Genomic DNA, 13920 nt, shown 5'->3' on the forward strand with positions numbered 1-13920 from the left:
CAAGCACAACTTTTGCAAATCTGTTAATTCCACTGGTGATTAGATATGTGCATTTCAACACATCTTGCTGCCCTTTGAAATCTAGTACAATCAAGATGTTAGATTGTAAGTTATTTTCTGGTTATTAAGATGCATTTCAATCCTCATCTTTAATCAACTGAAGATTCGCAAGATGGCTTTGATTCGCACACTGGGGTGTGTGTGTGTGTGTGTGTGTGTGTGTGTTGTGCACACCTCAAATTGATGTGCTGTCTCTCTCATTTCCTGCATCTCAGGATGTTCCCTCCGGTATATGTTATTAATAAGGAATCTGTGTTCAGTTTCATGCACTTAAAAATGGGAGGGGGGGTGTTGGAAGGCTCTTTACATCCCTAAATCCTAGGGGGAGCCCCGTGGCTTGGCCCCTCCTGTCAGAGTCTATAAGGGAAGGCAGAACTCAGCGAGGCGGAGGGAACACAGCCAGTTGGTAGATAACGCCTGGCTGCCCTCTGACCCTCGGGTTAAACTGCTGTCTGGGCTGCTCAATCTGGTAAGCCGAGTTCCAGGGAGGGAGAGCTGCCAGTTATCTGTCAATGCGCCAAGACATGGACTTCATCACAGAGAGGCACACGGACCAAATCTTCCTAATGACCTCTTTCAGGCCCCCCCTCTCTCTGCAGCACTGAGGCCATTCTAGTATATACAATTTAGGGAGTTTCCAAATCATCGAGGAGCTGATGGCTTCTCTGGACCTTCCAGGGAAAGTAAAGGAAGGAGGTAACCTGTTTCTGGAACATTCTATTTCAGGCCTTCATGTGGTTATGTAAGCTGAGAGGATGGTGAGGCATATTCCCCCAAAGTGCTGCTGTCAGCACGAAGGACTCTGCAATTCTGTGGTTTAAATAAGCGGTGTACAGCGCCTCCACCAAGGATTTCAGTCAGGAGTAGAGGGATGGGAAGGAAAGACAGGACACTTTTATGTCAGATGCCACTAGAATATACACAAAGACAAAGCAATCTGTTGAGAGTGAAGAGGACACACACAGAGACTGTGAGTACGCACAAAGAGAGCAAGGGAGAAGTGAGAGAGACAGGCAGAAAGAGACACGAGGACAGAGAGACATGCAGAGAAAGGCACACAGAGCTGACAGACATAGCAACAGTAGACACAGAGACACAGATAGATGCAGAGAGAGGTAGAGACACAAACGCACAAAGGGAAAAAGAGATGGAGACAGGCAAAGAAACAGAGAGGCCCACAGAAAGGGAAGCAGAGAAAGAGGAAGAGACCGGCTGCCAGACAGACCAAGAGAGACAGAAAGATGCAGTCCGGCTGCAGAGCTTATTTGGGGTTCCAAGATGGACACTCGTGTGTCCCTAGAAAGCAGGACTCAGCCATTGGGTGGGCTGTGGAAAGGAATGTACCCCGACCCCCGACCCACACTACAAGGCTCTCCACTGAGGATGGATATTTGGCTGAGCTTTGGAGAAGGAGCAAGGGCTGGCTGGGCATGCAGGAGTAACAGCGGTGGTAGAGATGAGAATTGCTGTTTGGTTGAGCTGAGGAGGCAGACACATGTATGAGCTGCTTCTCTAACATAAGTGCTTCCACCATCCTCCTTGGAGGGCTGTCTTCTTTCCTCTCCTTTTCTCCTCCCCCCGCCCGTCTTTCTGTTCCCTTCTTTCCCTTGTTCCTCCTTCTGTGGAGCTCCCTTTGCTAGTATTTTGATTCACTCACTCTACAAATATTTTCCAACAACCTGACTATGTGGTTCTCAGCCTTCTGGACACTGGAAACAAATCAGTGAGATGAACCAAGTTGGGACTCTCCTTAATTAAGAGTTTTGCTGTCTGGGTGCCCCATGCATTGTACATGACGGGCACCAGAGTCACAGTTCGCATTGAATGAAGGAGGCCAGAGGGCTCTGGAAGGGAACTTGCATTGTGGTTGCAGAGCTGAACATCAGGCATGGGAGAGAAGAAGTTCCCATTCCCAGGCCAGAGGGCCAGTGTGTTTCATTCATTCATGTACCAAGCACTTATGCATCATCTACTACACACCAGGAACTGTGTCAGATGCTCAGGCAATTCAGTGTCAACAAGTCCAACATGATTGGAATTTAGACATTGGGTTCTTTCACTATTCCCCTCAACTAATGAGCAGATGCTAAAGCAGGAAGCAGGTAAACTGAGTCAAAACTCAGTGCTGTTTGCCAGTGACTCATGAAGGAGAGAAGGCCAGGCGCTGATGACCTTTATCACCTCATCCAAGGCTATCCTGCTGTTGAACGTTTTAACTAAATGTCGCCATACTTCACGGGAAAATCCAGCAAGAACAGCTCTGTAGCCTTCCGCAGCTTTTGTACAAGAATTATACGATTCTTAGTAAAATGCAGCTGAATTATGAGAAAAATGAGTTCCCAGGAACTCTAGTTTGGTCCCCAGCTGAGGCTGAGATTAGAGCCACTGGGCTGCCTGCTTCCCAAAGCCACCAAAACACACAAATGATGGCTCCTCAGAGGACAGCGAGGCATGCAAATTAAATGAGCCCTCCTTTTCCTAGAGACATTATCTTTTTCACAATCCTGTCGTGTTCACTTAAGCTCTGTTTAAGCTTGGAGTTAAGGGCTGTGGCATGGTCTTGACACAATTCACACTTTGGCCTCTTTCTGGGATGTGGGAAGTCACAGTTCAGTAGGTGGTGCTGTCGGCCTTTGAGTCAACCTCAGACTGTCCCCTGGCCTTAAACTAGGGCAGTCTCAGGGTGGAAGAGAGCACTTGCTGTATTAAAGAAGACTCCAAATGTCATTGCAACATAAAGGAATGTGCTGTTTCATTAATAAGGTTTTCAGGTACAAACTCAGCCAAATATGACATTTTTTCTATATTCTTCTAGAATTGTTTTCTTATATCACACAGGCATTTGTTTATACATTCACTTAATCAGGCCACAGATGTGTATGTTGAGCTGTTCCTCTGTGTCAGGAAATGTGAAATTTTTTTTCTGAGATTCAGTTAAGAGGAACAAAGAAAATATATAAAATCTGATCCCTGGTACCTAAAACCTTCAAACTAGTATTAATAAAATGGATTAATAGAGTACCTATCATACGTTGGCTAATAGGCATTTGATATGCATATATTATTCGTATAATCTTCTAAGAATTTCCACTTTCCAGCTGTGCAAATGGAGATTTTGAAATATTAAATGACTTGCCCCAGATTGCACAGCTATTTAAGAGGCTAAGGGGACTTTGAGGCCAAGTCTATGACCTTAAACTCAATTTCCTTTCCATTGCAATAAGATTATAGCACCAGGAATACTGTAAAACAGGAGAGGCTCTGGTGCACAAAATTTAAGGACTCACCCTCTCTTACCCTGATAAGATATAAGCAGAGATGAAGTAGCAGCAAGAACAGAGATCTTGGAGCCTGCCTTTTTGTCTTTGACTCCCAGAGTCTCCTTTCATTAGCTATGCAATGTTGCACAAATTTCTTGATTTCACAGTATCAGTTTCTTCATCTGTAAGATGGGGATAATAACAGTACAAGGCACACAGAGGTACTGTGGGGAGTAAATGAAATAATGTATGTAAAGTGCTTAGAGTACTAATGAACACATATATAAGTATTAGACATTCTTATTTTTATATTATATTAAAATAATTACATGGAATAGCTACATGTGAGAAATCCCCTCTATGCAATTTAGCTCTACAGTTCAGAGGGGAAAGAGCGCTTCCAAATACAATAACCTTGGAGGTTGCATTTGGATTAACTTTTGGCATGATGAAAGGATTTTGACAACTGGAGGTAGTAATATTTGTAGCAACAACATCCTCTCTTTCTTTAGTCCTTATTTTATGTCACGTGCTCTGCTGAGTCTTTTATATTCATTTTCTCATTTAATACTTGCAAGAATTCTATGAGGTCAAGACTTTCTGAGCACTTTCAACTGAGTCAGTGTTCTCTCTGCCCAAGACTGCCTCACTAATAAGCGGCAGGATAGAGTTAGCTCCAGGTCTGCTACATCTCCAAATCCATTAGCTCCTGGGCAGACCATAAGGTGGAGAGGTGCAGGCGAGATCTGAAGTGAAGTTGACTTCCCAGTGGTTGTACAGATGCTCTTGGCTAACTTGGAGCAGGATGAGAAATCCACTTTAGCACATGCGGTGTGCCTGTTGGGAAGTGTAAGAGAAAAGAGCTGAGAGCTGGGGTGGGCCAGAACCTGAACTTAAAGAATCTTCAAGGCCAGGCTAGAAAGTTTGCATGTTAGTTGGTACTGAATAGAAAACCATTGCAATTCGGGGATTGGGAATAAGCAAGTATGTTTGCCAGACACAGTTATATGATAATTGAAAAAGAGCTTGAATGACCTATAGTTCGGTCATACTTACATTTTAGAAATGGACAATTTAGGATTAAATCCCCCTATAATCTTATATTGTTGGAACTATAGGGTTATTTTTATCTGTCCTGGGAGAGGCTGTTTGGAATTTTAGATGAGTTAAGCAAAAAGGTGCTAGGGAAATGTGAAATTTTAAAATGCCAATTGGTTATATTGAATTACTTGCCTTTGGCTCTTCATTTCTACCTTTTTCACTAATTCAAATGCATGTACCACCTAGGGAAGCATTTTGAAAATGCAGCCAGCCATTCTTTCATGATAGCATGAGCTACGGCACTTCTATAGTGCCCAAAGAAAATTATACTCTGAACGTGGAATTTAACTCTAAATGGAGACCTCCTTATGATCCAGAAAGATCTATCTACAATGCTTTTTCTTGAATATGTAAGCGCCTGAACCTCTCTTCACTGTCATCCGGAAAGTTATATTAGGATGTAAGGGATTTCTGCTCCTCTTTTCTGTTCTAAATTAATCTTACCGTACACCAGGAGCAGGGCGAGTAAGTGGCAGGAGACAGGGACCCATTCTCCAGCTATTTCAGCAAAGCGTGCTGCAAAAGAGAATTCTTAGTTATAGCACTTGTGGTTTAGTTATTGTTTTAATGAGCCTTTGCTGTGTAACCACAGCACCATTATGACCCGGCCACACCACAAGAAAAGGAAGTTCCCGTAAGCCGCCTCCTCACTCATCTTTTCATGTTGCTGGAAGTCAGCTCCTCTTAGCGGTGTGCAGCTTGGGCTTCCGGAGTTGGCTGGGTCTTTGTGCTTATCAGCGATACCCTCCTGTCTCCCATCCCTCCCTCTCCCTCTTCCTTCTTCCTCCAAACTGCCAGGCCTGAAGTATCAAGGAGAGAAGGCGAAAGGGAGTGTAATGAATCACATGTCTCGGGCCCGAACGGTTGTGGAAAGAAATGCTGGGCAGGAAAAGGCAGCACGCCACTGGGATGAGAGGGCCCCCTTTCTCCTCCTGCCTTTGTCTGTCTTAAATAGAAACAGATATTTTTCACATGACTTTCCCAAGAGACCACAGTTATTAAGAAAGTGCCAATAGTATATTTAAGAAAAATCGCACTCAGTGAGGAAGTGTGTGTGTGAATTGGTATGAAACTGTACAGTGGGATTTCATGCACTTTTGGGAAAATTTGTTCTTTGAATTAGGAGAATGAGCTGGATATTCCAAAATAGAAAACAGGGATTCCAGAGCCCCAGGTTTTCTGTCACTTTTGATACACCAGCAGGTGACTTTTAATGACTCGTTCCGTGGTACCTGACTCTGGTCTTCCCATGTGAGCACACGGCTGTGTGGTATAAACTTGACCCCTCCACTCTGCTTGGTTCTGCGTCATGGTGAAAAACGTGGCTTTCAGAGTTCTATGAACCTGAATTTAAATCCCAGTCTCACCATTCTCTAATGGTGTGATATGGGTACAAAGTCAGTAATTTATGAGCCTCAGTTTTCTCAGGTGTACAACAGGGAGCTTCATACCTGCGGCATTAAAATTTTGTGGCGATTAAATAAAACAACATGTGTAAAGTACCAGGTACATAGTAGGGGCTTAATCAATAATAACTGTTCTCGTCCTCCCATTTCTTCCTCCTTTTCTTCCCCTTCTTTCTCTGTTCTCTTTCTCCTTCTCCTCCTCCTGTTTTGGTAATTCTGGGAGCTGTGGAGCATAACACTGTTTCTGCGTCCTGCCATGAGGAGGTCTTGGCCAAATGTAATCTTCCTGGGCATAGCCATATGCACATAGCATCAGCTTTCCAGTAAGAGCTTCTCAGATGAACTCAGAGGTCCGTGTATATCCCTAATGGGAAAAGAGGCTGGAAATACAGTGCTGGTCTGATTCTTTGACAGTTTCCCAATTCCTAGGGCTCCAGCCATACCGAGTCTCCTTGCCTGTACACGGGCAGCAGGTGGAGGCTCAGAGGATAGTAGGCTACACACTTCTTTGAAATACTGTAATTTAGAATGTAGAAGTGAAACATACGCCACTAACCATCATGATACCTTTTTTGTCTGTGTACTAAAAACTAGAATGTTTTAGAAAGAAATATTACAGTAGGAAGGTTAGGTTTAAATCAATTTGAGGCAGAAAAAAAATGAGGAACCTCTTCTTTCTTTCAACAAAGATCCACTGTACACCACTCATGTACCAGGCAGTGGTGAAGTAGTGAAAAACAAGATAGCCATGGCCTCTGCTTCCATATCTGTGGTCCTTAAAGATGGCCAAGAATTTTCTTGATGCTCTGGGCTGGCTCTGTGACTGCTTTGGTCAACAGCGATGTGGTATCAGTATATTAGTCTCCTGGAGCTACCATAGCAAAATACCATAGACATGGGGGCCTTAAAAACAATATTAATTGTCTCACAGTTCTGGAGGTGGCAAGTCCAAGATAAGGTGTTGGCTGAGTTGGTCCCTTCTGAGGCTCTGAAAGAGACTCTGTCCAATGCCTCTCCGCACATCCTGATGGTTTGCTGGCCATCTTTGGCTTGTAGATGCATCATTCCATCTCGGCCTTGATCTCTGCATGGCATTCTCCTTGTGAGTCTTTGTATTGTCTTCTCTTTGTGCACATTTGTGTCTCTGTCACAATGTACCCTTTGTATTAAGGACACTAGTTACGTCGGATGAGGCCTCACCCTAATGACTACCTCTTAACTTGACTATATTTACAAAGATACTATTTCCAAATAAGGTCATGCTTTGAGGTACTGGTAGTTAGGATTCCAATATGTCTTTTCAAGGGGACACAATTCACTCCTAACAGTCAGACCAGCCCTTAAGAGATTGATGACTTCTTCTTCTTGTCTTGAACACTCGCATTTGCAAATTAGCCACCCTGTTTTGAGGAAGCCAAAGGGCTTCATGGGGAGGCCCATTTGGAGAGGACCTGAGGCCCTCTGGCCAACAGCCCCACCTCAGTTCCCAGCAAGGACTGCCAGCTGTGTGAGTGAGTTATCTTGGAATAGATAACTCACTTCCAGACCTCAGTGGAGCTAACACAGCTGCCCTGTGTATAACAGTCATGTGCTACTGCTAATGAGCCTGACCCAAATTGCATATTTGTGAGCAAAGCAAATGTCTGTTATTGTTTTCAGCCACTAAGTTACATGAGAATAGATCATCATAACAATATCCTTGAAAGCAGACATTACACAAGTAGTTGTGTGTGACAAGTGTTGGAAATGAGAAGCACAAGACCCCGGCAGGGAGTAAACAAGACAGCTTAGCCGGTCTTGCACTGGTCTGCTTTGTTACTAAGTAAATGCTCTTCCGTGCAGATCAATTGGAGGTGCTTTACTAGTTTGGCATTCCTAGCAAAAGGCATATTTGTTCTTGCCTACCTGGCTTTCTGAGATGCATTTAATTCGAAAACACCTTCACTCTCTTTGCATCTGTGTTTCCCCTTTGGGAAGTGGGAAGGGTGGGAAAGCCCGTAAGTGGGTGATAACAGCTCCCATCCAAAGAGAACTCCATTTACTTTCATCTCCTTCATAATGGCACAGAAAATGGAGCATAAAAATACCCCGTGGAAGGTTAAGTGCTCTGTACTAACAGTGGAGGATATGGAGGAGGCAATGAAGCGAAGGTCGGAATGAACAGGGAGGGGTGAGTTCACATGTGGGTGGTTTCTTTCTTTTCTTTTCTTTTCTTTTTTTGCCTCCTCTTTTACTACTGTTCAAATGAAGCTATGTGATACAACACTTAATAATAAAGGGAAATTGCACAGCAGATAGGCAAGGTGACCACTTTTGACAAGAGTCCCTATCAAATCAGGTAATCCAGAGTGGTATGCTACATTCAGCAAACCAGAACAAGGCCATCTTGTCTTCTAAGAAAACCTGAGGCCAGGTTTATATTCCAAGTCTGTTGTGAGGGATGGGCAGAACCGGATGGGGCTGGGTCCAAGGGGTCATTCTGTTCAACATCTAGGACAGCTGTGTTGGACAATGGTGTGCTTTTAGTTTAAGGAACCCGGGGTCCAGGCTTGGGATGGCATTGGAGCTTTAGACATGGTTTCCTTGGTTCATTCACTCAATGAATACTGAGTGCCTTATATATGCCAGACATTGACGTAGGTAGGCAATGAATAAGTCACACAAGGACTCTGTTCATGTCACAGATTCATTCTAGCAAAGAGAGTGGCACAAATATAACAGACATATATGTATATATATATAATTTTAATTATAATAAAGTGACAAAGTGGAGGGTAAAACTGTCAGTCTTTTTATTCAAAGACCTTTCATTCAAACCCTGATATTTCCTTAAGTGACTTAAATAAACTCCAAATGACTTCTCATGGCATTTAAGATCCTGCACAATCTAATTCCTACTATACTTCCAAAATTATTTTTTTTCTCCTTTCATCATTCCTCAGGACACACCTGTACATTTCAGTGTTGTGAAGCATAGCTCTGGTATCAGACTGCCTAGGTTCAAATCTCAGCTATGGCACTCATTAGCTATATGACCTTAGGTAAGTTACTCAGCCTCTGTGAGCCTTAGCTTTGACTTCTGTAAGATGAGTAGAATACGATTGCTATCTCCCTGGGTGACTGTGAAAATCAGACGAGATCATGGATATGAGAGGGCAGCATTCATACTAAAGTAAGATATGACTTACTTGGAAGTATTAATGACTACATTATAATAAAAGTTTATGTGTGTATTCATATATATATATTCTATATTTAATCTAACAGTGACTCTGTTCTGAGTCAGAATATATCTTAATGCCACATAGTAAGCCTTAGACTGTGCCTATTTTACTATTCATGCACAGTGGATAGATGCTGAATAAAATATAGTCAACTCACTGGTGTCTTGCGGTGATGGCAGAGATCCTTAACTAGGAGGAATGCTGTTTCAGAGGGCTCAGAATGGGTAATTAGGAGACTGTCACAAGGAAGCGTGAAGAACTGCACTCTTTAGCTTAAAGAACTGCAGTTGGGAGCCATATGATGAGAATCCATGTGTGCCACTTGGCAACATTAGAATTCCAAAACAGAGTGATCTTTAAAGATTCCCTCCCCTTGCAGCTGGGTGGAGAGGTGATCTGGGCTGCTCTGGAAACAGCGGTGAGCCTTTTATCATTTAAATATTATTCCATCGGGGGCAGAAAAGGGGGACAAAATACTGAAAATAAAAGTTAATTAAAAAATAAAATCAAGAGAAATGTCTCTCAGAGGCCACCTCTGGTACAGAGACCACCTGTCATTAAGCATTTTCCTGTCTATAAACCCAAGATTGGAAGCTGATCGACTCTTCTCTTGTTTAATTTTTAATGCCTCCTGTCTGGTCTCTGTGGTAGCTATTATAAACAGAGGCTGTCACATAGATATGTACCTTGCCCAGAGAAAAAGTGATGCTTCCCACTACCAGAACTGATATCCACTGGGCAAAACCTGCAGTGGGATTTATTACTTGCCTTGGAGAATTTGCTCTTGCATTGATGCAAGTCTCTCCTCTCCTTGTGGGTGGATTAATATAATAATAGAGGAAGAGAATGTCGTTGAGAAAAGAGAATAAATGGTGGCTCCTGAGCAACAGGGTATCTTCAGATCCTAATTTTCACCTTTCTGGTTCCTTGGGTCACTCATTCAATACAAATTTATTGAGCATCTACTATGTGCCATGCATTGTTGTATGTACTGAGGTCAAAGCAACAAAGCCAGAGAAAAATCTTTATTCTTTTACCCCACAAGACATTCTATTGAGGAAAGGGAGAGAATAAATACTTTAACAAATAAGAGTGCTGGGCCATTTTAAATGATGAAAGGGCAAAGAAAGTAAAAGCTGGAAATATGGCACCCTGGGAAGTGGGTAGGAAAGGCCCCCTAAGGAGGTAATGGTTAAGTAATAAGGTGAGTGATGAGGAGCAGCCAAGAAGGCAAAATCACATGGAATGGCATTCCAAGAAGAGGGAATGGCAAACACAAAGGCCCTGAGTTGGAGATGAGCTTAGCTTCTTTAAGAAGCAGAGGCATTCGCTGCGTTAAGAGAAGGGACTTCAGACTTATGATGAATACAGGCAATTGAAGGTGCCAGAGGACTTTCAGGAACCTGTAAAAAGGGGGAAGATTTGGTTCTGAGATTAGGTTTCAAACCTGGGATGCAAACATTCAATTACAGCCTCATTTTGGCGAATGTGAAAGAAAAGTGTAGGAGATCATCTTTCTTGAGTGGATTCACTCAGTCGTGCTCCCTAGACATGACCTTCATGGACCTGTTGCCTTGGTCTCCAGGGACCCGTTCCCTCCTGACTATATGAATGCAGTGGTCTTTATACTGGGAGCCCTTTCTCCTTCCGTCACTCCAGGCCCCAATATTCTATCTTCCTTCTGCTTCCCTATCACCTTCCTAAAACACACCCCATAAAGCCTCCCTCCCGTTCAATAGTGGCCTTTGAATTTCAACAGGAAGAACTAGCTCCTTAGCACCCCACACAAGACACTCACAGTCTGCCCTCTGCACACCTGGATTCCACGTGGCTGCCCACCACTTCTCCACAAGCACCCATGCTTACGAAGAGCCACCTGCATCCTGGCAGCCCCCAGCACCTTGACTTCGGCTCTTCCCTGGGCTAGACGGCTCATCCTTTCCCTCAACAGGAGGAGACGCTATGTTTTTTTGTTTTTGTTTTTGTTTTTTTTTTGAGTCAGAGTCTCACTCTGTCACCCAGGCTGGAGTGCAATGGTGCAATCTCGGCTCACTGCAACCTTTCCCAAGAGAAGAAAGCCAGGCCAGGTAAAGTGTTAGATTGGAGAGGAAGAGGAGGCCAGGCAAAGTTTGCAGGGAAGAGCATTTCAGTAGGTAAAATCGCAACACCAAGGCTTGAGTTAGAAATGAACTTGGTGGGTTGATTTCTAGTTTGTACCCTCTGAGCTCTGGGCGACTGAGGGTGTTATGGGTGGAGGGGGCTGGGGAGTGCCCATAGTTTACTTAATTTTGTGCTTTCCCCAGTCCCTGCCACACACAATAAGAACTCACCCTCTTTCTGAGCTCATATTTTGAAGAAATTTAAGATAATTTAGAGGGGAACAAAAAACTTGTGGCATATTTATTAAGTGACAATATTAAAATGAATTCTGCTGCAGTTTCTATCATGAGATTTGTAAATAGCATTTAACGTTTATAATCTCATTTTTGGAGGACTTTAATTTTGTTGTTTCAGGAACGTTTATAAAGTAAAAAGGAACTCCTGGTTGCATCAGTGGGGGAAGCTGCTTGCTTCAGAGGGACCTGGGAGGAGATTTACAGAACTCCCTGTTCTTGCCCTAATTAAGGCATTTGTTACTGTTTTAATAGCTCCAAGGTACTCACTGTAGCTGGGTTTATAAACAGCTTTTTTTTTTTTTTCCAGAGGAGAGGAGATACTTCCTTTTACGAGTTATATACTGTGACTCCTTGAGGGCAGGGATGATGGCTTGTATTAGGAATTTACTGTGCTCAGTCCCTGTCCCAGAGATGCTGACTCCTAAACTCTGGGAATGGAATCCAGAAAATTGTCTTACAACACAGCCCTCTGTTCATTCTGATGTCCGCTCAGCTTTGAGGACCACTGAGATAGGGGAACCATTTTCATTGAGTATACATAAGCCAGGCACGGTGCTGGGTCCCTGCTACTCAAAGGGTGGTCCTCAGGCCAGAAGCATCAGGGTTACCTGGGAGCTTGTTGAAAGACTCTCAGGACTCGCCTGAGAGAGACTTGTTGCATCAGCTGGTTTCAGATGCATCATCTCATTTAATTCTCAGAGCAAATCTCTGATATAGATCTGAATATCGTCACAGAAATCTTTGTAATATATATTTTTTATATAATTCACTCTTTTCCCTTTAATTTATTGTCTTATTCAGTTCAGCTATTTCAATTACAGTGTTTTGAAAGCAATTTCCCTGTTCATGGTAAAGTTTCAATTTAACACTGCGTACACCACTTGCTGAGGAAACGCTTCTATTGACTGGATATCTCTCTTTCCCCCAAGTCTTCTCTGCAATTCTCTCTTCCACCACCAAAATGTCGTGAACCAAATTTCCTTGGCTACCCCATTAATTAAATGTGCTAGCCAACCACTCAGTCACCATAGTTGAGGCATTTAGAGTTGTCCTGTTCTATGATCTCTGTGGCAGCTGGCTTCTGAAATGACTGGCAGTAACCCCTGCCTCCTGGTGCACATGCACTTGCATAGACCTCCCCCTAAGTGTGGATCTGCTTCTCATGAATAGACTATGGCAAAAATAATAGAATGTCCTTATGAGATTAACTTAGAAAGGACTGTGGCTTCTGTCTTGATCACCTCTCTCCTTTGTTTTTTTTGGGTGGCTTGTTCTGTTGAGTCAAGCTGCTATGTTGCAAGCTGCCCTCTCAAGGGACCCACACACAGGCACAAGACTGAGGGCAGCCTCCAGCTAACAGCCAGTGAGGACCTGACACCCTCAGTATAAGAACCCACAAGAAACTGAATCTTGCCAGCAGCCACTGCATGAGCCTCTAAGCACATCAATCCCCTCAGTATAGCCCAGAGATGACTTCAGCCTTGACCAAAGACTACACTGTAGCCCTGAGAAATCCTGAGCCAGAGGACCCAACTTCTAAGGGATACTTGGAATTTCTGACCCACAGAAACTCTGGAATAATAAATGTTGTATAAACCTGCTAAGTTTTGGGGTAACTTGACATGCAGTAATTGATAACTATTATAATCTCCCTGCAATTGAGGTTGTCAAGATCTAGCTCATGGGATTGACAGAGAAAGGGGTTCTGTGCTTGATCTAAATCTATACAGAAAAATCAAGTGCATGAGAGGCTGCAAGTATTTGTCAAATTTGGTTTCCCCCCATCCCTATGTACAATGTAAACCATGTGTCTCTAACTACCTTGAATCCAGATGGATGATGGACTTGAATTTAAGGTCAATAAAATGTGCCTGGAAGTAATGAGCACTTGGCACGTATACTCAGCCTGGTTCCTAAAATACCTCATTTTAGCAGATCCTTCATGCTCTTAGTCTTTGCTTGTCAGCTGGTTGGACCAAGAAGAGAGCTTTAAGGAGGAGTTAGTGGGGAGTGAGCTGATGGAAGGACCTCAGTCCTGTGTGACCACATTGAGGAAAATCTAGGACACTGCCAACCAGAAGCATTCACACTAGATTCTGTGTAAGCAAAGAAAGGAACTTTTGTTGCATTGAACCCTTGACTTACTGGTGATGTTTGTTATGCAGCCAACCTAGCCTATCCTGACCAAAACACATATCTTATATTTTTGTCTGTTTTCTTTTTTTATATTTTTAACATGTTAATATAAGTTTATTATTTTTCAGTCCCTTAAACACATTCGTTGATCTGTTATCTTTTGAGTAACATTCACTTATTCACTTCCTGAACATTTAATGATTTCCAGGCACTGGGTTTTCATTCATAAAAGAGCATAGTTTTTCTCCTTAAAAAATGTGTAATGAATCAGGTCAATAGATGCACAAGAGGAAATTAAATTGTAATTTAATAGAGATATACACATGAACCCTGTTAG

The 13920-nt window shown here is 43.0% G+C and overlaps 1 long non-coding RNA gene across 1 annotated transcript; it reads right to left on the reverse strand.

The window, feature by feature from the left end:
• Positions 1-3623: 3623 nt before the first annotated feature.
• On the reverse strand, positions 3624-9368 carry LINC02852 (long intergenic non-protein coding RNA 2852). The gene is made up of 3 exons (XR_932641.4): positions 9209-9368; positions 4866-4937; positions 3624-4157 (listed from the first exon to the last, which is right to left on the reverse strand). It is a non-coding gene; the product is annotated as a long intergenic non-protein coding RNA 2852 (long non-coding RNA).
• Positions 9369-13920: the final 4552 nt, after the last annotated feature.

Source organism: Homo sapiens, chromosome 15, assembly GCF_000001405.40.
Source record: "Homo sapiens chromosome 15, GRCh38.p14 Primary Assembly".
In the NCBI taxonomy this organism is placed as follows: domain Eukaryota; kingdom Metazoa; phylum Chordata; class Mammalia; order Primates; family Hominidae; genus Homo; species Homo sapiens.